At 52.2% G+C, this 27,950-nt stretch overlaps 2 long non-coding RNA genes and 2 pseudogenes across 2 annotated transcripts; 2 read left to right on the forward strand and 2 right to left on the reverse strand.

Annotated features, from left to right (window-relative positions):
* Positions 1 to 872: 872 nt before the first annotated feature.
* LOC105377217 (uncharacterized) lies at positions 873 to 10,134 on the reverse strand. The gene is made up of 3 exons (XR_001756062.2): positions 4,793 to 10,134; positions 3,450 to 3,578; positions 873 to 2,739 (listed from the first exon to the last, which is right to left on the reverse strand). It is a non-coding gene; the product is annotated as an uncharacterized LOC105377217 (long non-coding RNA).
* Positions 4,593 to 4,705, forward strand: RNA5SP520 (RNA, 5S ribosomal pseudogene 520; annotated as a pseudogene).
* RNA5SP521 (RNA, 5S ribosomal pseudogene 521) lies at positions 6,503 to 6,618 on the forward strand (annotated as a pseudogene).
* Positions 10,135 to 21,889: 11,755 nt separating the features above from the next.
* On the reverse strand, positions 21,890 to 26,181 carry FAM224B (family with sequence similarity 224 member B). Its single transcript, NR_002160.1, has 3 exons — positions 26,045 to 26,181; positions 23,432 to 23,549; positions 21,890 to 22,096 (listed from the first exon to the last, which is right to left on the reverse strand). It is a non-coding gene; the product is annotated as a family with sequence similarity 224 member B (long non-coding RNA).
* Between the last annotated feature and the right edge of the window lie 1,769 nt (positions 26,182 to 27,950).

Below are 27,950 nucleotides of genomic sequence, written 5' to 3' on the forward strand. Positions count from 1 at the left end.
GATTCAAAGATGACACATTTGATAAATTTATTTATAAAATTTTATTAAATGAACTTCAGAGGCCTGGTGTGGTGGGTCACTCCTGTAAATAATAAAATTTTCTTGTCAACTGTGTCTATGAAAATTTAAAATCATTTCTACAGTAAATTGCTTAATTGTGAGGCATTTCAAATTCTGAAAACTTTACAAGCTTGCAAAATTATAGAATACTGTATCTTTAAGGAGTTTCATGAAAGGATGGAAAAGGTCCTGAGAAGTATTCTTGAATACAGATTTTTGACAACGTTAGAATCATATCATTTGAACAGGGTAAGAATTCCCAGAACTTTAATGAAGACTGATTGGTTTATAAAACTACTACAGCAAACAGAGTAAAAATCAATTGAATACCAAGAAAATAGTTTGTCAGATTTTCATGCCAAATCAGCCAGTACTTAAATTGTCTAGATAAAGTATTTGAATGAACTCTATATTCCAAGTCAAATTATCTATGATAATCCCTGATTAGTCACTGTTATGCACCTAAGTTGAAGAAACAGTCCAATGTTAAACGTACAGAACCAGGACATCTTCTACGTCCTTCCTGGTTCTGAAAGCTTTTCTTATTGAAAGTTCTTCATTCTGATTCTTGGCTGCAAAGGTAACACAAGATGGCAGAAAGAAGGCTCCACTGATCTTCCCTCCTGCAAGGACACCAGATGCACAACTATTAACGTCTACATAGAAAATACATTCATAAGAACCAAAAATCAGTTGAGTACTCAAAGTACCTGGTTTTAACTTCATATCACTGAAAGAGGCACCATTTCCTCACCACCAGCAGTGATGGCGTGGTGCAGAGATCAACTCTGGGTTCTGCAGGAGGGAGAACACAGAAATTTTAAGACATTGAACTCTGTGCTGCCCTGTTAGACCAGAAAGGAAAACCAAACCAAATGCAGCTAAAGCCCATCCACAGAGGGATTATTTAAACCAGCCCTGGCCAGAGGGGAATGAGATTTCGGTGGTTGGAACTTGAGCATTTGGAAATCTGGGTACTGAGGGCTCCAGAGCTCCATGTATCTAAGAAAACTTGAAAGGCAGCCTAGGCCATCAGGACTGCAACTCTTAGGTGAGGCCTAGGGCTGAACTGGACCCAGGAACAGTCAACTAAGGTGGGAGGTCATGCAACATACTGAGACACCAGCTGGGGCAGCCAAAGGGGTTCTGGAATTATCACTCTCCTAATACCAGGCTGCACAGCTTATAGCTCCAAAAGGGACCCCATCCTTCTGCTTGAGGAGAGGAGGAAAAAGAGTAGGGAGGACTTTGTCTTCCATCCTGGATACCAGCTCAACCACAGCAAGATAGTGCACTGGTCAGAGTCCTGAGTCCTCCTTTCCAGGCTCTGGCTCCTAGACATTCCAAGACACACCCCGGGCCAGAAGGAAACCTGCTGCCTTGAAGGAAAGAACCCAGTGCTGGCAGCATTTATCACCTGCAAACTTAACAACCTTTGGGCCCTGAATAACCAGCAGCCATACCCAGATACTACATCAAGAGGCTTGTGTGAGCCTCATAGACTTACTAGATTTAGGTGAGATTCAGCACATTACAAGCTGTGGTATCTAAGGGGCAAAACTCCTTTTGCTTGGGAAAGGCAGAGGGAAAAGTAAAGGGGACTTTTTCATGCCACTTAAGTACCGGCAAGGCCAGAGGTGGGTAGAGCACCAAGAAAGGTTTTGGGATCCCTGATTCTAGGACTTGATTCTTGGTTGGCATATATGAACCTGCCCAGGGCCAGTGGGGAGACCAGTGGCCTGAAAACGGCAAGTCCCAGTCCAGGCAATATTCATCACAAGCGGAAAAGAGGATTTGGGCCTTAAAGGAACAAAGGTGGTAACATGGCAGTACTCCTTGTGGCCTGGGGTGCTTGGGGCTACTCTGCCTTTGGAAAAGGAAAGGAGGTAATAGGAAGGGCTGTGTCTTGTGGTTTGAATGCCAGCTCAGCTGGAATGCAATAGAATGTCCGGTGGACTTCTGAAATTTTTGACTTTACTCCCTGACTTCCGAATGGCACTTCTGGACCCAGCCAGGGACTGAGGAAACTCGCTGCCCTGAAGGAAAGAGCACAGATATGGCTGGCTTTGCCACCTGCTAATTGCAGAGACCAAAGGCCTTGAGTGAACATAGACAGTTGTCAGAAAGTGCGTGCAGCAGGACTTGAGCAAGACCCGGTGCTATGCCAGCTTCAGGTCTGACCCAGGGCAGCCAGTGGTGGCGGCCAGGGGTGCTCGTGTCATTCTCCTCCCAACTTTAGGTGGCTTAGAATAGAGAGAAAGACTCTGTATCTTTGAGGGAAAATAAGGTTAGAGAACAAGAGTCTCTGGCTACTAATCCAGAAAATTTTCCTGGATATTGTCCAAGACTGTCAAGGTGGTACATCAATGAGACTGCAAAAATTACAGCACTATTGGGTATACGGTGCCCCCTAAAGCAGATATGGCTTAGATCACAACACCTGCCTTTTCAAATATGTGGAAATCCTTCCCAAGAAAGATAGCTACGAATAACCCCACACAGTGAAGTCTACAATTAATGCTCATCTTTTTTTTAAAAAAAATCTTTTTTTCACATCTTATGTGGTGCTGCATGCCAAAGTTTTAATGTCCAGACACTGAAGAACATCTGCTAGCATTGTCACCATCCAGGAAAACATGACCTCACAAAGTGAATGAAGTAAGGCATCAGCGACAAATCCTGGAGAAAAAGAGATATGTAATCTTTCAGACAGAAAATTCAAAATAGCTGTATTTTTAAAAACTCACAGAAATCTAAGATAACAAAGTAAAGAAATTCCAAATTTTATCAGCTAAACTCAACAAAGAGATTGAAATAGTTACAACAAATTAAGCAAAAATTCAGGAGCTGGAAAATGCAACTGGCATGCTGAAGAATGCATTAAAGCCATTTAACAGCAGAATGGATCCAGCAGAAGAAATGGTGAACTTGAAGACAGGCTATGTGAAAATATATATTTAGAAGAGACAAAAGAAAAAGAATAAAAACAACAAATAATGCCTACAAGATCTGGAAAATAGCCTCACAAAGATAGGCCTAAGAGTTATTGGTTTTAAAGAAGACGTATAGAAAGAGACAGGGATAGGAAAATTTATTCAAAGGGATAATAATAGAAAACTTCCAAACCTAGAGAAAGATATCCAAATCCAATCACAGAAATATTATAGAACATTAAACAGATTAAATTCTAAAAAGACTACTTCAAAACATTCCATAGCCAGTTTTCAAAAAGTCAAAGAAAAAGAAAAGTTCTAAAAAAGAAAGACAAAAGAAAGAAATAATATACAGGAGAGCTCCAACACATCAGGCAGCAGACTTTACAGAGGAAACCCTGCCGGCCAGGAGAAAGAAGCAATAAATATTTAAAGCACTAAAGAAAATAGCTTTACCTTAGAATAGCATATACAGCGAAAATGTCCTTCAAATAATAAGAAGAAATACTGACTTTTCCAGACAAACAAAAGTTGAAGGATTTCATCAATACCATGACTGTCCTACAAGGAATGCTGAAGGGAGTACTTCAATCAGGAAGAAAAGGACATTAATGAGCAAGAAATAATCAACTGAAGGTAAAAAAAAAAAAAAAAAAAAAAAAAAAAAAAAATCCTCATTGATAATGGTAACTATACAAAATAAAACAATATTATAACACTATAGCTGTGGTGTGTAAACTACTCATTCTAAGTAGGAAGACTGAATAATAAACCAAACAAAAGTAATAACTACAAGAACGTTTCAGCCGGGTGCAGTGGCTCACGCCTGTAATTCCAGAACTTTGGGAGGCCAAGGCGGGGGAATCACGAGGTCAGGAGATCGAGATCGTCCTGGCTAACAAGATGAAACCCCTTTTCTACTAAAAATACAAAAAATTAGCCGGGCCTGGTGCTGGGCGCCTGTAGTCCCAGCTACTCGGGAGACTGAGGCAGGAGAATGGTGTGAACCAGGTAGGCGGAGCTTGCAGTGAGCCGAGATCGAGCCATTGCACTCCAGCCTGGGCAAGAGAGCAAGACTCCGTCTCAAAAAAAACAAAAAACAAAAAACAGAAAACAAAAAACAAAAACAAAATAAAAAGGAACGTTTCAAAACATAGTACAAAAAAATATAAATAGAAAAAACAAAAAGGCAAAAAGTGAAGGGATGAGCACACCCGTCCTGAGGGGCCTGTTGTGATGGAAGCTCGGGAGCCGGGTGAAGGCCTGGAGCGTGAGCAGAAGGGGGCCGCCCGGACAGCCCAAAGACTGGGCATGGGACGGAGACCTCTGGCTCCCCCGAGCAGGAGCAGCACGGCGCCTTGGCCGTCCTGCGGGAGGCCAGGCCACCGGCGACGGCAGGAGGCTCTAGGAGGCCAGAGGAAGGCACAGAGGGGTGGCCAGCAGTGCTCAGAAAAATAGAAGAGGAGAGCAGCCCTGCCACTGGCGAGCGCTTGGGGATCCTGGATCCAAGCCCAGCAGCCCCGGGGTGGCAATGACGCCTGGAGTCGAGCGGGGCGTGGCTGTGCCGGGCTCTTGAGGCATCCAGGCCCCTCTGCCAGCGCCTACAGCCATATCACCCTGTCCAGTCTCGTCTGACCTCGGAAGCTAAGTAGGGTGGGTCCTGGTTAGTACCTGGATGGGAGGACGCCCAGGAATGTTGGGTGCTGTAGGCTTTTGTCCTCCCCCTCCCTCCCTCTTTCCCCCTTTTGTCGCCATGCTTCACAAACTTCCCCTAACTCTGCTCCCACTTTTCCTCTCACCTGCGGCCCCAAAGCAACCCGGGACCTCCTCGTGGGGTTCCACCGCTGCAGCACCGCCAGGCAACAGCATCCCACATCCTCCTTCTTGCTGCAGCCCCACCAGGTGCCCGGCTCCAGCCGTGGCAGGACGGTATATGTTCCCTGAGGTGACCCGTGTCTTCACGCTCCCGGGACGCCCAGGCAATTCAATTTACTCATCTGGCACCATGCAATAGTTCAAGCCGGTGGGGGAAGTGGCGGCCAGGGACAGAGGTCCCACAGACACCATCCAAAACCTCTGCTCCTGGACCTATGGGCTGCTTTCCCCAGGGGAAGGACATTGCCTTCGCCAGTCACGAGGCAATCCGTCTCTGTGCACCCGGATTCCCATTGGCACCGTCTTCGTGTCAACTCCAGTCCTGAGGACACGAGAGAGACCCAGGCCTCGGCCCGGTCGGCACGCTCTGCGCCAGGGCTCCCACCAGAGGGAAGGACGCACTCTCCAAATCTCGGTGCCCACTGCACCAAGAAGATAGGGAGTAGCCAACAAAAGGACCCTATGAAACGCACCCCAAAAGCAAGCAACCAATCCAAGCAAAAATACGTCTCAGGGTTCTGTTGGTCCTCTTGCATGGGCGGCCTGCCCACCTGTTCCCGCCAGGCTCAAGCACCCTCCACCCTACCCCTGCTGGAAGGAGCCCTGTCTACGAGAGCAGAGAGCTCCCTCTCCCAGGCTTTAATGCTCTGGCTCTCTAGTTCTGTCACCCTCTCTCTATTTCTCTCCTGCTCCCTCCATCTCATGCTCTTTCTGTCACCTTCTCTCTCTTTCTTTCTCCCTCTCATTCCTGTCTCTCTCTCTCTCTCTAGCTCTCTCTCCCTCAGTTTCTATCTCTCCATCCCTCTTTCCCTTGATCTCCTTCAAGCTGTCTATCTGTATCTTTGTGTATCTGTGTGTGTCTCTGTGTGCCCGCGAGCGTGCATCCATGTGTGTCTGTGGGGGTGGGGGTGGGTTTCTTCTTGGTGCTGGTGAGGTGTGTCTGGCTGTCCATCAGCCTCTCTCTCCCGCAATCAGTCGGCTAGCTCCAGTGGCAGCGCGGGGCAAAGCAGCTCCCCCCACTCACTTGGCCATGGGCCATGTCCTTGTCCGGACAAGCGACCCTGTTAGGGACGTTGTAAGAGAAAGGGCCCATGGGGCTAGGCCACCTGTTCACCCTTGAGCAGCCCTGGCAGCACTGGGTGGGTGAGGAGAGAGGGGGCCTTGCAGGAGGGGCGGCGAGGGAACCAAAACAATCCCTCCGTGGCAAGGAGGACAGAAGGGTATCCCTGACTCCTGGGAGCACAAGCTCAGCAAGCCCGATGTGGTGGAAGCTTGGGAGTTCATGAGCCTGGGGAAGCCCTGAAGCGTCGGAGGAATGGAGACCAACCAGAGAGCCCGAAGTCTGTGCAGCGGATGGACACCTCTGGCGTCCTCACTCAGCAGCAGGGCGGCGCCGAGATGGTCCAGTGCATGGCCTTGTCTGCTATGGCTGGAGCCCCTTGGAAGCCGGCAGAAGGTGCAGCGCGGTGGCCCACAGTGCTCCGGCGTGGAGGGGGAGAGCAGCCGAGCAGCAGGCGAGGAGTGGCTTAGAGTTGTCCCGATCCAAGCCGCGTGGCTTTGGAGTGGCGGTAATGCCTGGAGTCTGGCGGGCATGGTGGGCCAGGCTCTTGTGTCAGCCAGGTATCACTGCGGGTGTCTAAGGCCTTACCGCCCTGAGACACCTGATCTCTGGCCTGTGACGCTAAGCAGGGTGGGGCCTGGTTCAGTACTTGGAAGAGAGACCGCCTGGGAATACAAGGTGCTGTAGGCTTTTGGCTTCCCGCTCCCTCTTTCTCCCTTTTGTGCCCTACTTCCCAACCACTCCCTGACTCTGCTACCCATTTTCCACCTGCCTGCGTCCCCACCGCACACCAGGACCTCCTCGTACACCGCCGGGCAGCAGCATCCCACCTCTTCTGCCTTGCTGCAGCTCCACAAGGTCCCCAGCTCTAGGCAGGGCGGGGCAGGCCAGCACCAGACCCCAAAGGCGCAGGCCCAGGTTCCCTGCCATGCTGGTTGTCTTCCTGCTCCAGGAAGGCCTAGGTAATTTAATTCACTCATCTGGCGCCGCCGCAAACGCCCGAGGCTGGGGAAGGGGTGGGCAGGGGCAGAGGGTCCCACAGACGCCAGCCAAGACCTCCTCCAGAACGCACGGGCTGCTTTTTCCAGGGAAGAACATTGCCTTTGCCAGCTACCAGGGAAACATCCTTGTGAACCCGGATTCCCATGGCCACCAACTTCGTGTAAACTCCTGTTGTGAGGACACGAGAGACACCCAGGCCTCAGGCAAGGATTCCCTGGCTTGCACCCAGGGTGCCTGTCTCACCCACGGGGGCACCCTAAAGTGTCAAGAAGGCAGCGGGGGATGGGAGCTGGCTTTAAAGGGGACGTTGAGGCAGTCCGTGGAAAAACTTCTCAGGGAAGACAGTGCATTCCGGGCAGCCCCTGCGGCGGGCTGGGGGGCCCTGGAGTCCCTGTCTTGCACAAAGGTTGTGTGTCTCGCCCTCAGGGGGCACCCCATAGCAACAACAATTCCCCTGGGGAAAAGTACCCCGCTTGAAAGACACGCCCCCTGGGTGCAAGCCAGGGACTCCACGACCACCCCGAGTCCGGCACAGACACTGCCGGGAAGGCACTGTTCTCCATGGGATTGTTTTCCCTCCCGACTGCCTCAACGTCTCCTTTCAAGCCTGGCCTCCTGTTCCCTTCCCCCGCAGGTATTCATGCTGCCTTGGGGTGGCCCCCGTGGGCGAGACTCTTACCCTGGGTGCAAGCCAGGGACTCCATGAAACCCTCGGCCCGGCGCAGGGGCCGCCAGGAAGGCACTGTCGTCCGTGGGAGAATCCCAGCCTCGAGGTTGTTTTCCCCGGGCTGCCTCAATGTCCCCCTTGAAGCCTGAAGTGCTGTCCCCTTCCCCCAGGGGACTACTTGCCGCTTTGGGGTGCACTTAGTGGGAGAGACACGCACCCTGGGAGGAAGCCAGGGACTGCCGGGAAGGAATTGCCATCATGGGAGGAAACCGGCTGGCCGCATTTTTCGCCGTGCTGCCTCAGCGTCCTCTTTAAAGCCTGGCGTCTTGTTCCCTTCCCTGGGAGGCCTTCTTACCACTTTGGGGTGCCCCTGTGGGAACGACACGCACCATGGGTGCAAGCCAGGGACTACACGATCCCTCCGGGCCCAGCGCAGGGGTTGCCGGGAAGGCTCTGTCGTGCGTGGGAAGACACCATCCCTCCTCTTTTTTTCCCGTACTGCTTCAACTATGCCTTTCAACCCTGATGTCCTGTGCCCTTCCCCCGGTGGCCTTCTTGCCTCTTTGTGGTGCGCCCCGTGGGTGAGACATGCAAGCTGGGTGCAAGCCAGGGACTCCACGCAGCTCCTGGGCCCACCGCAGAGGCTGCCGGGAAGGCAATGTCGTCCATGAGCGGACCCCAGTATCCCCGCTTTTTTCCCCGGGGCTGCCTGAACGTCCCCCTTCAAGCCTGACGTGCTGTACCCTTCCCCGGGGAACATTCTTTTCGCTTTGGGGTGCCCCCCATGGGGGAGACACTCACCCTGGGTGCAAACCAGGGAATCAACAACCATCCCCATGCAGGGCAAAGGGGCTGCCAGAAAGGCACTGTCATCCGTGGGAAGTTTTTACCCCGGACTGCCTCAACGTCCCCTTTCAAGCCCGGCGTCCCGTTTCCTTCCCCCGGAGGCCTTCTTGAGGCTTTGAGGTGTCCCCCGTGAGTGCGACATGCACCCTGGGTGCAGCCAGGGACTCCACGACGACCCCGGGCCTGGTGCAGGGACTGCCGGAAAGGCACTGTCGTCTGTGGGACGTCCGCGGCCCGCTGCTTTTTTCCCCGTGCTACCTCAACGTTCCGTTTCAGGCCTGGCGCCCTCTTCCCTTCCAACAGAGGCCTTCTTGGTGCTTTGGGGTGCTTCCCGTGGAAGCGACACGCAACCTGGGTGCAAGCCAGCGACTCCAGAACCCCACTGGGCAGGGCGAGAGGCTGCCGCGAAGGCACTGTCGTTCGAAGGACCCTGGCTTACTGCTTATTTCCCTGGATTGCCTCAAAGTCCCCTTTTAAGCCTAACATCCTGTCCCCTTCCCCCGGGGACCTTCTTGCCTCTTTGGGGTGCCTCCTGAGGGCGAGATGCACACTCTTGAGTACAAGCCAGGGACTCTACGACACCGCCAGGACCGGCGCAGGGCTGTCGGGAAGGCACTGTTATCCCTGGGATCACCTCAGCCTCGCCGCTTTTTTCTCTGGGCTACCTAAAGGTCCCCGTTCAAGGCTGATTTCCTGTTGCCTTCCACTGGGGGACTTTTACTGCTTTGGGGTGCTCACTGTGGGCGCGACACGCACCCCAGGTGTAGGCCAGGGACTCCACGACCACCCCGGGCCCGGTGCAGGGGCTGCTGGGCAGACACGGTTGTCCTTGGGTGGACACTGGACCGCCGCTTTTTTCCGGGACTGCCTCAACTAAACTTTTCAACCCTGGCGTCTGGTACCCTTCCCCCGGGGCCTCCTTGATGCTTTGTGGTGCCACCCCTGGGCGAGACACACACCCGGGATGCAAGCCAGGGACGCCAAGACCTCCCCGGCCCAGCGAATGGGCAGCCAGGAAGGCACTGTCGTCCGTGGGAGAACCAGCGTCACGGTTTTTTACCCTAGGCTACCTCAACGTCCCCCTTCAAGTCTGACGTGCTGTCCCCTTCCCCTGGGGGCCTGTTTGAAGCTTTGGGGTGCCTCCCGTGGGCGAGACACGCATCCTGGGTGCAAGACAGGGACTCCACGCTCCCCCAGGGCCCTACGCATGGGCTGCCAGGAAGGCACTGTCATCCATGGGAGGAACCCGGCTAGCCTCTTTTCTCTCCGTGCTGCCTCAGCGTCCCCATTAAAGCCTGTCTTCCTGTTCCGTTCCCCCGGAGGCCTACTTGCGACTTTGGGGTGCAACCCCTTTGCCGGACACGGAGGGGTTGTTGAGTCCCAGTCTTACACCCAGGGGCCCATGGGGGGCACCCCAAAGCAGCGAGTAGCTTCTCAGGGGAAGGAGACAGCACGTCAGGTTCGAAGGTGGACGTTGAGGCAGCCTGGGGAATAAAGAGGGGATGCTGGGGTTCTGCCATGGATAACACGGTCTTCCAGGCAGCCTCTGCGGTGGGTCTGGGAATATCGTGGAGTCCCTGGCTTGCACGCAAGGTGCCTGTCTCGCCCACAGGGGGCACCACAAAGCGGCAAGAAGGCCACCGTGGGAAGGATATGGGACGCCAGGGTTGAAAGGGATAGCCGAGTCAGTCCGGGGAAAAACGCCGCGGACTAGGGTCGTCTGAGGGCAGACAGTGCCTTGCCGGCAGCCCCTATGTTGGGCCGGGGTGGTCTTGGAGTCCCTGGCTTGTACCGAGGGTGCTGGTCGCGCCCATGGGGGCACCCCATGTCTAAGCGCGACACGCACGCTGGGTGCAAGTGAGGGACTCCACGATTCCCCGGGGCCAGGCGCAGGGGCTGCCAGGAACGCAATGTCATCCATGGGATGACCCCGGCCAGCCGCTTTTCCTCCAGGGCAGCCTCAATGTCTCATTTAAAGCCTAGCTGCCTGTTCCCTTTCCCGGGGGGCCTTCTTTCCGCTTTGGGGTGCCCCCCATGGGGAAGAAGCGTATCCTGTGTGCAAGACAAGGACTCCACGACTCCCCCGGGCCCAGCGTAGGGGCTGCCGGGAAGGCACGACTGCCGGGAAGGCACTATCGTCCGTGGGAGGACCCCGGCCACCCGCGTTTTTCTCCGTGCCGCCTCAACGTTCCATTTCAAGCCTGGCGTCATGTTTCCTTCCCCTAAAGTCCTTCTTGCCTCTGGGGTGCCTCCCGTGGAAGAGAAGCGCACTCTAGGTGCAAGCCAGGGACTCAACAACACACACGGGTTCAGCGCAGGGGCTGCTGGGAAGACACTGTCGTCTGTGGGACTACCCTAGCCTCGCCGCTGTTTTCCCCAGGCTGCGTGAACGTATCCTTCAAGCCTGACATGCTGTCCCCTTCTCCCGCGGGCCTTTTTGCCGCTTTAGGGTGCTCCGCGTGGGCGCGACACGCAGCCTGGGTGCGAGCTAGGGACTCCACGTCCCCCACCCCCATGTTTCGGCGCAGCGGAGACCGGGAAGGCACTGTCAACCGTGCGGTGACTCTGACCCGCCGCTTTTTTCCCCGTGCTGCCTCATCGTCCGGTTTCAAGCCTGGCGTCCTGTTCCATTCTTTCAGAGGTTTTCTTGCCGCTTTGGGGTGCCTCCCCCGTGGGCACGACACATACCCTGGGTGCAAGCCAGGGACTACACGACTTCTCCGGGCGTGATGCAGAGGCTGCCATGAAGGCACAGTCCTCCGTGGAAAGTTTTTCCCGGTACTGCCTCAACGTCCCCTTTCGTTTCACTGGAGGCCTTCTTGCCACTTTGGGGCGCCCAGCGTGGGCGCAACACGCACATTAGCTGCAAGCCAGGGACTCCACGACCACCCCAAGCCCGGCGCAGGGTCTGCCGGGAAGGGACTGTCATCGGTGGGAGGACTGCGGCCCACCGCTTTTTTCCCCGTGCTGCCTCAATGTCCCCTTTCAAGCCTGGCATCATGTTCCCTTCCCCCACAAGCATTCTTGCCACTTTGGGGTTCCCCCGTGGGTGCGACACTCACCCTGGGTGCAAGCTAGGAACTCCATGACCGTCCCGGGCCAGGCACACGGGCTGGGGAAACGCACGGTTGTCTGTGGGAGTAAACCGGCCTGCTGCTTTTTCCCTCGTGCTTCCTCAACGTCCCCTTTCAAGCCTGGCGTCCTGTTTCGTTTTCCCGCAGGCCTACTTGCCGCTTTGGCGTGTCCCCACTAGATGCGACACGCACCCTGGGTGCAAGCCAGGGACTTCACGACTTCCCCTGGCGCGGTGTTGGGGGGGCTACTGAAAAGGCACTGTAGTGCGCGGGAAGTTTTTCCCCAGCGTGCCTCAACGTCGCCTTACAGGCCTGGCATCCTGTTTCCTTCCCCGTGGGCCTTCTGGCCGCTTTGGGGTGTCCCTCTTCGGCCAGACACCCATCCTGGGTGCAAGCCTGGGACTCCGCGACCACCCGGTCCCGGCGCAGGGGCTGATGTTAAGTAAGGCACTGTCGTTCATGGTAGGACCCCAGCCTCGCCGCTTCTTTCCTCGGACTAACTCAACGTCCCCCTTCAAGCTTGATGTGCTGTCCCTTTCCCCCCGCCCCGGGGGCCTTCTTGTCGCTTTGGGGAGCCCCAGTGGGCGAGACACGCACCCTGGGTGCAAGCCAGGGACTCCACCATTTTCCCGGGCCAGGTGCACGCGCTGCCGGGAAGGCACTGTTGTTCATGGGAAGACCCCAGCCTCTACGCTGCACCCAGGGAAGTCGTGGAGTCCCTGGCTTGCATCCAGGCTGAGTGTCGCGCCCACGGGGGGCACCCCAAAGCGGCAAAGAAGGCCTCCGGGGGAAGGAAGTTGGATGCCAGGCTTGTAAGGAGAGATCAACGGGGAAAAAAGCGGCGAAGCCAGGGACTCAATGACACAAGCAGGCCTGGAACAGGGGCTTCCGGGAAGGCCCTGCCGTCTGTGGGACAACCCCAGCCTCGCTGCTTTTATCCCCAGGCTGCCTCAACTTTCCCGTTCAGGCCTGATGTGCTGTCCCCTTCCCCGAGGTCCTTCTTGCAGCTTTGTGGTGCTACCCATGGGTGAGACACGCACCCTGGGTGCAAGCCAGGGACTCCACGACCCTCCTCCCGACACATACACCGTCCCGATGCAGGGGCTGCGAGAAAGGCACTGTCATCCATGGGACGCCCACGGCTCGCCGCTTTTTTCCTCATGCTGTCTGAACTTCCTCTTTCAAGCTTGGCATCCTGTTTCTTTCCACCTATGGCCTACTTGCCGCTTGGAGGCACCCCCCCACCCCCCCAACTGTGGACGAGTCACGCACCCTGGATGCAAGCCAGGGACTCTACGACTTCCCTGGTTCTGGCACAGAGGCTGCTGGGAAGGCTCTGTCCTCCGTGGGAAGTTTTTTCCTGGACTGCCTCAACGTCCCCTTTCAAGCCTTGCGTCCTGTTCCCTTCCCCTGGGGACCTTCTTGACGCTTTGGGGTGCCCCCCATGGGCAAGACACGTCCGCTGGGTGGCAGCAAGGTACTCCACGACCACCGGGCACTTGACTCGGGGGCTGCAGGAAAGGCACTATCGTCCGTGGGAGGACTCCAGCCTTACCACTTTTTTCCTCGGGCTGCCTCAATGTCCTCCTTCACGAAGACTGACATGCTCTCCCCTTCCTTCCGGGGCTTTCTTGACGTTTTGGGTTATCCCCGTGGGCGAGAAACGCACCCTGAGTGCACACCAGGTATCCACGGTCCCTCGGTTCCGGCGCAGAGGCTGCTGGGAAGACACTGTCGTCCGTGGGAGGATCCCTGCCCACCGCTTTTTCCCTGTGCTGCCTCAGAAGTCTTCTTTCAAGCCTGGCATCTTGTTCCCTTCCTTTAGGGGCTTTCGTGTTGCTTTGAGATGCCCCCTTGGGCGTGACCCGCAGCTGGGTGCAAGGCAGAAGCTCCACCACTCGCCTGGCCCGGAGCAGGGTCTGCCAGGAAGGCACTGTTGCCATGGGAAGTTTTTCCTTGTACTGTCTCAACGTCCCCTTTCAAGCCTGGAGCTCTGTTCCCGTCCCCCGGGGGTCTTCTTGCCGCTTTGAAGTGCCCCCCATAGGCCTGACACGGACCCTGGGTGCAAGACAGGGACTCCACGACCACCCCGGCCCCAACACAGGGGCTGCCAGGAAGGCACTGCCATCTGTTGAACGACCCCGGCCCGCCTTTTTTTTTTTTTTTCCGTGTTGCCTCAATGTCCCCTATTAAGATTGGCGTCCTGTTCCCTTCCCCCAGAGGCCTTCTTGCCACTTTGGGGTGTCCCCATGAGCACGGCATGCCCCCTGGGTGCAAGTCAAGGACTCCACGACTTCCCAAATCCCGGCCCAGGGTCGGCTGGACAGGCACTGTTTTCCGTGGGAAGTTTTTTCCCGGACTGCCTCATCTTCCCCTTTAAAGGCTGTCCCTCCTGTTCCTTTCCCTCGGGGGTTTTCTTGACGCTTTCTGGTGCCCCTCGTGGGGGTGACACGCACCCTGGGTGTAAGCCAGGGACTGCACGACCCCCGCGGTTTCTGTTCTTATTTATGGTAAAAGTAGGGAACTCTGCTTATGCACATCAACGGAATCATTATTATACGCAGACGATTTGGACGTCGAAGGAGAGAAACCTTGGTGAGGGGTAGGGGATAAAACAGGAGGGGGAAGGGAAGGAGGCACAGTAGTTCACTCTGGAGTGTTTTCTAGCCTGGGGTGAGTGGGGCGACACGGAGGGCAACTCAGGAAACAAGCTGATTCCAGAAAAGACACCGGGCATGATGGCGAGCGTCTGCAGTCCCAGCTACCCGGTGGAGGTGGGCGGGGGAGGCAGAAGAATCGCTTGAACCTCATTGGCTCACCTTTCGAATTACCAGCGAAGGCTTTCTCACCAAGTTTTTGTCACACTCTTTCCCCACCAGTTACCCCTTCCTGAAGATTCGCTCATGGACCCCTGGGGAAGATAGTGGTCTGCCTTATGACCAAAAGACTGGAAAATTTTGAGTGCTTTCTATCAGGGCCGTTGCCTGGCATGCATGCACTCACCCCCAAAGTCCCGCTGTTTATCCACCTTTCTCTCTGGGGCAAAAGGCCTCTCCGAGGCCGACACAACACGATAGTACACAGAATCTTACCGCACTCGCTCCTGCGTCGTGGGCGCACTTGGCAGAGTGAAACAAGGAACTTGGCGCTCAACAGAGGAGGCAGCATCTCTTATCGAGTGGGAGGGACCTGCCTCACTCATCCGCCTCGCCCCGCTCAACGACCTCTTCAGGATGCACTTGCAAACACCGTGGTGGCGGTTATACGAGAGGCCACTTGGGGTTGGCACAACCCGCCACCATTTTGTCTCGGGCAGTCTGGAGCACTCCTGGATCACCACAAAGGCCCTGGTCGTGTCAACCCTCTCGCATCCCAGAAAGGGCAGCATGATGTTTGGTAGGGACATGCCCCATGGCCCCGGAGAGGTGCAGTGTCCACCCGCAAGGCAACAACCACAGGAAGCCAGAGCAAAGGTGCCCGCTGTGTCAGAGGACCCCACCAATCTTCTTGAAGTCACGAGGCTCAAGGCGTGAGGGCAGCGAGGTCACCGCAAATTCCCTGCCCCATGCCTCCCAACACACTACCCGTGAGTGGGGAAGAGAGACAAGGGGCCCGACAAGCAGAAGAAGAAGAACTCTTCCATTAACTGTGTATTTCCATCCTTTGCTTCTCGTGGCTTACTCCCAGCCTGGGAGAGCGTAAAGTCACCACATCCATCGTGAAAAGCCCAATAATGGGCGGTGGTTGAGCTGGGGTCAGTCTTGAAGAAACTGATGAGCATAACAGCCCAGCCAGGCTCACTCCGGGATAGGGACAGCAGACAATTTAAGGTGGAATGCCTGACATTCACAGCGAAGAGCCAACAGAGTGGGGTTGTTCTGACCACCCTGTGCCCGCAGCCGGGAGCACACTGGTCACGGGAGCCCGAGCTGCCTTCCCTGCCAGGGTCAAAGGCCCAGAAACCTGGGGCACCACGGACAGTTATGACACTAGGATGCGTGAGAGCAGGCACACAGGTCCCAGCAATCAGCTAAAACTGGAACAGGGCCGGTTAGCTGGGTTACCAGTATACCAGAGCTTCACACGCATCTAGAGGCCCAATGTAATTGCCAGGCAGCGTGTCAGCAACAACCTGGTGGCCCAAAATGTCGACTCAGAGTGAAAGATATACCTTGCCTGGTGGAGGGGTGTCGAGTCAGTGACCACACCACCTGAGCAGAAACGCGTGACCTGGACATCTTTCCCAAAAAAAGGCCACCATGGCAGCCAGACACGGAACACCCAGGGCCCTCTGGTTGACCCCAGGACACACACAGGAGCAGCACTGGGCCAGGGACAAACTCCTGGTTACCCGTACAATGCAGGGGCTGGCCCATTTTTCCAGAGCTAGACTGGGAGTTATTTTTGGCTGGCCCCTAGCATGACTGGATCACATGAGGGACCAAAGCCTGGCCAGGTGCCACCTCTTGGACCACATGCATGCTCAGGGACCGCTCTCCAACTCTGCATGGGGACTTCAAAAAAAAGATCAGGGCAGAGGGACTAGGGCTTGGCAGGTGCATCAGACCTGCACTGGCCTGCCACTGGGCCGGGAAGGGCATCCCCAGCCACCAGCGCCATGCCCAATACGTCCTTGTGGATCTCGGGCCAAGCCTCAGGAGTTGTGGCATGCTGTTCGACCAGCCAGGGCAGCCCCACACTGCCCTGGGGCACGGAAGCACCGCGACAGCCTCCCCCAGCAAAGCCCTGGACTGCCAGCTCTGACTCACAAGTGACGCGCCAGAGTCCCAGATGGCAGGGCAGCCCATGACTGGGAAACCCAAACCATGAGTCGAAGTCTTTTTGAGGCCGAAAACGCAGCCCCTCCTCCCCAACTTCACAGAAACCGTTCTCCAAACGTGTCTCTGCATAGACTGCGACTGAGTCAAAAGACAACCCGTGGCGCATGAGAGTTTGAAGATGCATCTCGGACTGAGAAAGAAGAAATGGGACTTGGTTGCAGGTCGGTTAGGACACAGTAAGATACAGAATGAGGAGAGTCTTCTAGAATCCAGACAAAGACGGAGGAAGGGAGGGAGAGAGGGAATGGAGAAAAGAGACAGACGGAGGAAAGCAAGGAGGGAGGGAAGGGAGCAGCGAGGGAGGGCGGAAAGAAGGAAATGAGAACCAGAGAGAGAGAGGATTTTTAAAATCTAGACAAAGAAATATAAAGAAAGAGAGAGGCCGGGCGCGGTGGCTCACGCCTGTAATCCCAGCACTTTGGGAGGCAGGGGCGGGTGGATCACAAGGTGAGGAGATTGAGACCATCCTGGCTAACAAGGTGAAACCCCGTCTCTACTAAAAATACAAAAAAATTAGCCGGACGCCATGGCAGGCGCCTGTAGTCCCAGCTACCCTGGAGGCTGAAGCAGGAGAATGGCGTGAACCCGGGAGGTGGAGCTTGCAGTGAGTAGAGATCCCACCACGCATGCCACTGCACTCCAGCCTGGGCGACAGAGACTCCGTCAAAAAAAAAAAAAAAAAAAAAAAAAAAAAAGAGAAAGAGACATAGCAAGGGAAGAAAAATGAAAGAGATGAAGAAGGAGGAAATAAATGAAGGAAAGCCAGGCGGAAAAAACAGAGAGAGGAAAGAAAAAAGAAAGAAGAAAATGTAAAAGAACAAAAGACAGAGAAGAAGAATGAAAGAAAAAGAAAGAAAGAAAGAAAGAAAGAAAGAAAGAAAGAAAGAAAGAAAGGAAAGAAAGAAAGAAAGAAAACTGGAGAAATAAACTTTAAGAAAGAAATGAAAGGAGAAAGATAGATGAAAAAAACTAAAAAAATAGTAAAACTATTTTTCTAAAAAACTCTAAAAAACTCTAAAAAAATAGCCGAGGGCGGTGGGGGGCGGGGTGGGTGGGGGATCGGTGGCTATGATGCACTTTCCACTTTACCAATATGCTGGCTGGGGAAAGACAAATATTAAACATAACTTAACGGTAAAAACTGACTATGGCGGCTTAGCCAAGGTACTTGAGTTTCCCTAAGGAGGGAGGGAGAGAGGAAGAGGAAAGCTGCCGGCATGAAGGAGAGAAACCGAGGTGAGGGGGAGGGGACAAAACAGGACGGGGAAGGGAAGGAGGCACAGTAGTTCACTCTGGAATGTTTTCTAGCCTGGGGTGGGTGGGGGGACACGGAGGGCAACTCAGGAAACAAGCTGATTCTGGAAAAGACACCGAATTCATAGTGTTGCCATCCCTGCTTTGAAAGGTGTGAAGTGCATGCTGCTTCCTCCACACTCATTCAGTTAATCCTGAGAAATGTCTTTTAGTCCCAAACGCCTGACATCTACCTGCTTTCACAACATCTGGGGAGAATCAGAAAAGTCCCCACTAAAGAAAAGGCCTAGGGTGGAACTGCCGTCTGTAAAACCCAGGCAGAAGAGTCCACGCGGGTCAAACACACAAAGAATAGGAAGCAACTGATGAAGAAGATCAACAATCTGGCCCAGCCAGAATCTCCAGAGGTTTTCTAGGCAACGATGGAGGGGATGAACGGATGGAGGTAGGGCGGGCCTCTGAGGGTTGGGGTAGGACTGAGGGGAGCAGAGAGAAGACACACTCACCCCTTACCATGGGCGGGCGGCCACGGCATCCTGTGAGCCTCCTAGACTTCAAAAACGGTGACAGCTAGATGACACGAGACGACAACGGATGGAAGTGTCAGCCCGGCGCCCTTTCAGGAGCTCCCAACAACTAATCCACCACAGCCCTTGCGGGGGAAGAAGCACCATGGCTCGGGAAAACATGGAGAAACACATGTGCCTATGCACGTGCACACGCACACCATATCCCACAATATAGACACGTTTATACCGTGATAATGAGAGAGCCCATTTCTAGTGCAAAAGAAGCAGTCTGGGCTTGGCGGCCCAAGCCAGTAACCCCAGCACTTTGGGAGGCCAAGGCGGGAAGAACACCTGAGGTCAAGAGTTCCAAACCAGTCTGGTCAACATGGCAAAACCCCGTCTTTAAGAAAAACGCAAAAATTAGATGAGCATGGTGGTGGGCACCTGTAATCCCAGCTCCTCAGGAGGCTGAGGCAAGATACTCACTTGAACTCAGGAGGTGGAGGTTGCAGTGAGCTGAGATCTCACAACTGCACTCCAGCCTGGGCAACAGAGGAAGACTCCATCGCAAAAAAAAAAAAAATAATAATAAATAATAAATAAATAAATAAATAAATTGATTCCACCTTTAAATGTATGCACTGTTAAGATTACGCAGATAGCTTAGAAGGTATATAAGCTTTATACACATTTGTAATTTTGAGTCAATCTGGTGATATTATCAGGCCGTCTCCCTGTAAGTGGTCACAGAAATAAAAACTCCCTTTTTTTAGTTCATCTGTATGTCATTATCAGGTCGGGAGAATAAGCAGCCCCACCCTCAGTTTGGTCTGGGAACAATTACACTCCAGCCTGGGTGACAGAGGGAGATTTTGTCTCAGAAAAGAAACAAGAAAACCATTTTTTAAAAAATCGAAGATAATTAGCGGGGCATTGTGCTGTGCTGTGGCTCATTCCCATGCCTGTAGGCCCAGCTACTCTGGAGGCTGAGGCAGAGGAATATTGCTTTGAGCCTAGCAGTTCAAGGTCACAGTAAGCTATGGTCCTACCACTGCATTCCAGCCTCGGCGACACAGGAAGGCCCCGTTTCTAAAAAATACATGAATAAATGAATAGATGAATGTAAAAAAATGCAAGGAGGTGGCAGAGCACGGGAAGGCTTGACTCATTCCTAAACACTAGAGCAGAAAAACAGGACCATCCATGTGAGACATAAGCTATTCCAAATCACAGTGGAATAAGCAAGTGGAAGAGCAAGGCCCTGCCATTATCTGCAGATAACCATTCTTTCTATCCAGCTAGCCTCTGGCTATTAGTAGAAACCAAATGCCCAACCATGGGGCCACGAAGTTACCATGTGAGCTGAGCCGCTCATCACACACTGGGCGTAAGTGGGTGTGCACAGCAGCACTCCAGCATGACACAGAAATGCTGTGGACCTGATTGGGTCCGAACAGATCCTGAAGCACAAGTAAGTTCCATGAGAAAGTGGCCCAAATGCCCATGATGCCTAGTCAAGAAATGAGCCGAGTTAAGAAATTACACATAGCCGGGCGCAGTGGCTCATGCCTGTAATCTTATCACTTTGTGTTGGGGAAACCAGCCCTACACCAGCCAGCAGGTACCACGAGTCCAGCAGAGACAAAGGAGTTGTAAAGAGAAAAAAATAAATGTTTAAAAGGCGGGTCCAGGGGACCGGAGCATCTGAGGCTTGTTCACAGCCCAGAGCTCTCGAGCTCTGCTGAATTTGTTGGTTTACAAGCTCTTTGTTCTTAGGGCAGATGGGAGGGGTAGAAAGGGATAAGGTAGAGGATTAATCAGTGTCACTCAATAAGATGTGTAGCAGCAGTTTTTTGTGAATTTCCTTGAGCAAAGGCGTGTGTCTAAACTACTCAAGATCTTTAACTTATCAGGACTGAAATGGGTGTGAGTGGGTTTCAGGAGGAGCCAACACGTTTGGTTATACTCCACTGCTTCAAAGGAGGTATCTCCCTTGCCAACCTGTGGAATGCCTCTGAGCTGTTATGCTTTCAGGGCATAAAGACATGAAGGCAATAAGGAGATATTTCTCCTCAGAGGCCACCCATGGCTCCACATGGATGTCTCATACAGGGGAGACCAACCCATCTGGCACCCCAGAAACTCTCACACTTTGAGAGGCTGAGATGGGTGGATCACTTGAGGTCAGGAGTTTGAGACCAGCCTGGTGACCACAGCAAAACCCTGTCTCTACTAAAAATACAAAAATTAGTCAGGTGCAGTGATGCCAGCCAATAGTCCCTGCTACTCGGGAGGCTAAGGCAGGAAAATCGCTTGAACCTGGGAGGTAGAGTTTGCAGTGAGCCACAAGTGCACCACTGTGCTCCAGCCTGGGTGACACAGTGAGACTTTGTCTCAAAACCAACAAAAACTTAATTTAATTTAATTAAAAAAAGAAAGTACACGTAAAATTATACATAGCTGGGTGCAGTGGCTCACACCTGTAATCTCAGCAATTAGGGAGCCTGAGACAGGTGGATCAGTTTGTAGCATCATTGCTGCCTTGAAAGGACAGAGAAGTATGTTTATGTCACTGTTGGTTTTATTTTTTTTTCCTTTTTTACCGGAAACACTTACTTTTTATATTATTATTATTATTATCATTATTATTATTTTGGATAGGGAGTTTCGCTCTTGTTGCCCAGGCTGGAGAGTAACGGTGCAATGTTAGCTCACTGAAACCTCTGTCTCCCGGGTTCAAGTAATTCCCTTTCCTTGGCCTCCCGAGTAGCTGGGATTACAGGCAAGTGCCACTATGCCCAGCTAACTTGGTATTTTTAGTAGAGACAGGGTTTCTCCATGTTGGTCAGGCTAATCTCGAACGTCCAACGTCAGGAATGTCCGGTGATTCGCCTGCATCAGACTCCATAAATGCTAGGATTACAGGCATCAGCCACTGCATCTGGCCTCTTTTTTTTTTTTTTTTAAGATGGAGTCTCACTCTGTTGCCCAGGCTGGAATGTAGTGGTGCTATCTCAGCTCACTGCAAGCTTCATCTCACAGTTTCAATCAATTCTCCTGCCTCAGCCTCCCAAGTAGCTGGGATTACAGGCGCACACCACCATGCCTGGCTAATTTTTTGTATTTTTAGTAGAGATACGTTTTCACCACATCGGCCAGGCTGGACTTGAACTCCTGATCTCTTGATCCACCTGCCTCTGCCTCCCAAAGTGCTGGGATTACAGGCATGAGCCACAGTGCCCGGCATGTATATTCATTTTTTTAACTGATCAAAGAACAATCAGAACCACTCATCAGGGTGGCAATTCCCTTGGCAACAAGGGAGGGAGAAACTTGGAGGTGGGGGTGGGGGCAGTGGAGAAGACACAGCTGCCTTGGGCTGTGCCCAGGTGCCATGAGCTTTCTTCCTCCTTGAGGCCTCGGTTTTCAGAGTAACAATGGCTGCTAGGTGATGCCCATTAGGTGAATAGGGTGGCATATGCCAATGAGAGTGTCAGCCCGCAATGAATTGGCATCACCCGGAGTGGGGAAAGGAGGGGAAGGATGGAAGTCCCCACAGTACACTGGGTCACAGCACCCTCGCAGGCAGTCCCCATAACTAATCAACCAGGGCCCCTGGGGGGGGGACACAGCCTAAGTCCCCACCCATCAGATCATCTGGAACTTCCATCCAAATACCGACTGGAAATTCTCTCAGTCAAGCTCCAAACCTAAAAGAATCACTGCCACACCCACCAGGACTAACACAACTTTTAAAAGAATCATTTCTGTGTTTTAGGTGCATCCGTGTATTTCTGTACAACAAAATTATTTATTTTAAATGTTACTAGTTTTTTGCTTCTTACGTGTACAGTCTCATGATAGATAGACAAGGGGACTCTTCAGTCCAGAGTCCATGAGGCCAGAAGCTGACATCCTCAGTTCTTATTCAGAATGAATTTAAACAAGCCAGCCAAGCGCCCTGCCATGAAACTCCTGGAAAGACAAGCGATTAAGAAAAGAAAAGAAAAACAAAGTAAAAAACAAACAAACAAACAAAAAACAATGCCGTCAGGAGCAGTAGCTCATGCCTTTAATCCCCGCACTTTGGGAGCCTGAGAGCGGGTGGATTCCTTGATTCCAGGCAATCAAGACCAGCCTTGGCAACATGGTGAAACCTCATCTCTTCAAAAATACAAAAATTAGCTGGCTTCATAATTTGGACTCAAAATTAATAAATAAATAGTTTGAAATTTAAAATGTAAAAATATCTTAATTGCTGTATTCTGTTATTTTTGCATCCTATCGTGAGAAGGACATAATATAGGTATTATCTGTCTCTCTGTTTGCAACAGGGTCTCGCTCTGTCTGTAGCCCAGGATGGAGTGCAGTGACATCATCATGGCTCACTGCAGCCTCAACCACCCCAGGGTCAGGTGATTCTCCCACTTCAGCCTCCTGAGTAGCTAAGACCCCAGGCATGCACCTCAGGTTTTGGCTGTGTTGTCCAAGGCTTGTCTCGAGCTCCCAGGCTCAAGAGATCCTGCCGCCTTGGCCTCCCAAAGTGTTGGGGTTTCAGGCTTGAGTCGCCGCACCCAGCCTGACTTAATACATCTGGTCTCACTACGTCCTGACTACATGCCCTTGAAGAACTCAAGAGAGTTAGCAAGAGACTTTCAGCATTCTCTCCATAAACCAGTGAGGTGGATGGCGGCTGAGTGTCCTGGGCTCCTGTGGTTTTAGGTGGCCATGCGTAGAGGATAGATTTCAAATGTTTCCAGAGAGGTGGGAGCCACAGTCATTCGGGGCATCCAAGCTTGGGATACAGTTTCTGACAGCATCTTAAGGGCCAGGAAGGGCCAGGATCTGCCAAGGCTGGTGTTCCACGGTGGGGACAATGGAACCCAAGGTAGAGGGAGCCATCCATCCACACTGAGCTCCAGCCCTAGACCCCACCATGCAGATTAAGTCAGAAGGAACAGTCCTTCCTCCTACACGCCACATCCCTCCACTCAACTTGGGAGCAGATCTGTTTTCCAAACATGAGGTGACTCTCTGTTTGAAATGAATCACAAGGGGCCCAGCTTTCTTGAGTCGGCAGGATAAAGAAGTCATTCTGTGACATAGAATGAGATATGCCTCGAATCTAGACTCTCCAGTTAAAACCAATGATGGTGGCCAGGTGCAGTGCCTCATGACTGTCATCCCAGCACTTCGGGAGGTCAAGGCTGGCAGATCACGAAGTCAGGATTGTGAGATCAGCCTGGCCAATATGGTGAAATCCTGTATTTACTAAAAAAACAAAGGTTAGCTGGATAGGGTAGCACGCACCTGTAATTTCTGCTACTCGGGGGGCTGAGGCAGGAGAATCGCTGGAAGCAAGGAGGTGGAGATTGCAGCCAGCCGAGACCATGCCACCGCCTTGGCGACAGAAGGAGACACCATTTACCTAGAGGGATAAAAGAACAACAGGGTCCGCACCAGGATGGAAGTTCCCTAGGCAGTGAGGGAGAGAGGGAGGGGCCTCCAGAAGGGAAGGAGAGAAAGCAGTTGCCCCAGGCTCTGTGAAGTGGCCAGGCGGCCCTCAGTGCCACCTTTAAATAACAGTGGCCACTTTCAATAACAGTGGCCTTTCAATAACAGTGGTCACTAGGTGATGACCTACTTTTAAAAAAAGCAAAACAAAACATTTATTTTGAAAAATTGCAATTTAGGCTGGGCGCGGTGACTCACACCTGTTATCCCAGCACTTTGGGAGACTGAGGCAGGCAGATCCCTGAAGGTCAGCCTGGGCAACATGGTGAAACCCTGTCTCTACTAAAAAAACAAAAGTTAGGTGAGCAGGGTGGCATACACCTGTAATCCCAGCTACTCAGGAGGCTGTGGCAGGAGAATTGCTGGAACCAGGGAGGTGGAGATTGCAGCCAGCCAAAAAAACCCCACAGCCTGGGCTACAGAACAAGACTCTATTTAAAATAAATTAGTAAATAAATAAGTGAACGAATATATGTAAAAAGAAAAATGCAAGGAAATGGCGGAACTCGGGAAGGCTCCCCTCATTCCTAAAGACCAGAGCAGAAAAACAGGACCATCAAGTTCAGACACAGGCCATTTTGAATCTGTTGTCACCATGCTCAATTGGTGCCAAAGAAGGGTAGGCTTCTGTGCCACCCATCTGTCATCACCACCCTTGTCAAATATAATTGCAGGGTCACGACTGCACAGAGATCTCTCAACCCACTGAATGCATCCGTATTTTTATGAGCCCCGTTGGGAGAATAAACAGGATATTTAGAAAAGTACTCATCGTGCGTTATTTGGTCTCCCATGTCTCTTGTGAAACCAAACAAATTTATGGGCCATTTTTTTTTCTTTCCAGCACTTGACCATCCATACAGTACCTAAATAAAAGAAGAATGAATGCATTTTATGAAACAAGGAGAAAAACAACGAAGCGAAAGTCTCAGAGGCTTGTGATACACAGGGGTATACAGAATGAGGAGACTTCCAGAATCCAAACAAAGACAGACGGAGGGATGGGAGGAAACGAATTGAGAAAAGAGACACACAAAAAGATGAAGAAAAATAAATGCAAAGAAAAAGAGACAGAGATGTAAAGGGAAGAAAGATAAAGAAAATAGAAAGACAGAGAAACAGAAAAAGAGAATAAGAAATGACAGAAAGAAGGGAGGAAGAAAAAGAGAGAGAAGAAAGAGAAAGAAAAGAAAGAAAATGAAAGAAAGAAAGAGGAAGAAAAAAGAAAAATAAAGGAAATAAAAAAGAGAGAAGTGCATCAAGGTTTACACCTGTAATCCCAACACTTTGGGAGTTTGACATGGAAGAATTGTTTGAACCCACCATTTTGAGACCAGCCCTGACAATACAGTGAGACCATGCCTCTACTTAAATAAAATAAAATAAAATAAAATAAAATAAAATAAAATAAAATAAAATAAAATAAAATATAATAATGTTAGCCGGGCATGATGGCAGGCGCCTGTACTTTCAGCTCCTTTGGAGCCTGAGGTGGGAGCATCCCTTGGGCTCGGGAGGTGGAGGCTGCGTTGGGCCTTGGTCAGGTAATGCACTGCAGCGTGTTGTCCAGGCTGGTCTTGAACTCCTGAACTCTAGCCAACTGCCTGCCTCAGCCTCCGAAATTGCACCTGCCATATTCAACGGCCCTGGGGGTATCAGTGACAGACTTTAGTAAGCATGGTTGTTATGCCATATTGCCCAGGTTGGTCTTGAACTTGAACCCGGGAATTTGAGGCTACGGTGAGCCAAGGTCATGCCACTGTACTGCAGTCTGGGTGATAAAGCAAGACCCCATCTCTAAATATCTAATTAATAAAAACAATAACAATAATATAAACAATAATACAAATAAATAACAAACAACAGCAATAATAATAAACAAACTAGTGAGAGTGAAAAATATAAAAATAAAAAAGGTAATTTAGATCACAATTAATTGCAGTAATTTCAAGGAGTTATTTCTTTAACCTGTCTCTCTTACTTTCTGAAACAGGGTCTTTCTCTGTCACTCAGGCTGGAGGGCAATGGCGTGATCATGGCTCACTGCAGCTTCGACATCCCAGAATCAAGCTATTCCTGCAATCTCAGCCACTTGGAAGGCTGAGATGGCAAGAACACCTGCGGGAGCCCAGGAAGGTTGAGGCTGTGATGAGCCGAGAATGCAATCTCACACTCCAACTTTTCAAAAAAAAGAAAAGAAGAATTAGAAGGAGAAGAAGTAAACATAAAACAACAGCAACTTCAGTGTGTAGAAAGGGGAGTAAGAAAAGTAAAAGGAAAAAGAAAAACAAAATGAAGAGCAGCTGAAAATACTGTGGAAACAGTTGGAGAGGAAGAAATGACGTGGTGAAAGAGCAGCCTCTAGTGGATGCAGGTGGTAGTGCTGCTGACCAGAGTTACCCGTTCTACCTTAACAATCCCAAGTTGACGGTCAAGTCCAGCGCTCGCCGATGACATCTTATGGACCCAGGGCTCGCGGAAGGACCCAGTTGGAACTTTATCACACCAAGCCGGCCCACCTTTGCTGCCATCTAACTCCGCCGACCTGCCCGCAGTTCCCCACTCTCCGCTGGTTGACCGGGGCAGCGGAGAGAGGAGGAAAGCACAAAGGCAGTGACTGGTTCATATCCCATCGCCGCGCGCCTGGGGTGGGGAGAGGGGCCGTGACCCCATCGGCCACCACTGGGCACGCGTGAACACTACTCGGACAGGAACCGCAGGGGCACACCCTCGGACAACCACTCCTGAGTCATTCTCACCAGGCTCGGTGAATCCAATCTCAGCCCCTGGAGGAGTTCCCAGCGGGGTGCGAGGAGGAGGTGGAATCGGAGAGGTGGAAGGAGGAGCAGGGGAGCCACCTCTACCTCAGCAACCCCTGGCGCGGCACCTTGGAAAGCCCGAGGGTGGGGACGTGAGCCTCCCAATGCACAGCGGGCGCCGATGAGCTCTCGCGAGAGACACCCACTGCGTGATCCGGGGCTCAGGGGTGGGTGGGCATGAGCGGGCCAGGGAAGAGGTTCTCGGGAACAGGAGAAAGGAAGGAAGGTATATGTCAAGGGCTGAATTACACAGGACACACCACATCACACACCACATCACCAGGTCCTCCGCACACGGGTGCAGAGAGCCTTGTGTGGAGGTCTGACTTTCAATAGATAGCAGCGAGGGAGCTGCTCTGCTCCATGGAAAACCCTGACCCAGAAGCAGGACGTCTGCGAATAGTTTAGCATCAGGTTCCCCACAAACACGTTATGTGATGGGTCAGGGGGTGACCGCCTTTCTGGCAGCAGCCCGTTTCCCAGGATGGGGGTTTCTCTGCACCGGATCCCGGTTTCCGGAGCACGGCAGGACATGCGCCCAGCGCGGGGCGGAGCGGCACACCGGAGGGGACTGCAGAAGACTGCCTACCCGAGGCCAACAAAGGTTCCGTGGCGCTGCCTTATCATTCCTCATGGGCGGGATTCTTAGAGTCCTTCAGTCCTAATCCCGCTTATAGTAGCTTTACCCCATTGGCTCCTCAGACAAGGACATACACCAAATGTCTGAACCTGTGATTTCTCTACTAATGAGCAGGATTACCATGGGAACAACACATGGGCAACAACACATGGGGAACACACGCAGTAAAACTAACCTGTCTCACATGGGTCTAACCATAATGCTTTCCAGGGCATGCGCACCGCTCTCAGGTGAATCCATTCCAGTCTGCCTTGTCCTTCGCAAAGAAAAGAGAGCTCTGCAGGGGCGGTGGCTCATGCCTGTAATCCCAGCAATTTGGGAGGTTGAGGAGGGCCGATCATCTGAGATCAGGAGTTCAAGATCAGCTTGGCCAACATAGTGAAACCCTGTCTCTATAAAAATACAAAAATTAGCCGGGCATGATGGCGGGTGCCTGTAATCCCAGCTACCCAGGAGGCTGAAGTGGGAGAATCGCTTGAACCCGGGGAGGCGGATGCCTCCCGCTTGAACCCGGCAGGCGCACATGCCACCATGCTGGGCTAATTTTTGTATTTTTAGTAGAAACAGGGTTTCACCATGTTGGCCAGGCTGGTTTTGAACTCCTGACCTCAAGCAATCTGCCTGCGTTAGCCTCCCAAAGTGTTGGGATTACAGGCGTGAGCCACCGCACCCAGCGTATGTGTATAGAGCTCCTCGAGAGGAAAGCCTCTATTATTACCATTGCAACAGTAGAAAAAGTAAAGCTTTTTTTTTTTCTTTTGAGTAAGAGTTTCACTCTTGTTGCCCAGAATGCAGTGCAATGGCCTGATCTCAGCTTACTGAAACCTCTGCCTCCCAGGTTCAAGCTATTCTCCGG

The sequence above is a fragment of the Homo sapiens genome, chromosome Y (assembly GCF_000001405.40).
Source record: "Homo sapiens chromosome Y, GRCh38.p14 Primary Assembly".
NCBI classification, from domain to species: domain Eukaryota; kingdom Metazoa; phylum Chordata; class Mammalia; order Primates; family Hominidae; genus Homo; species Homo sapiens.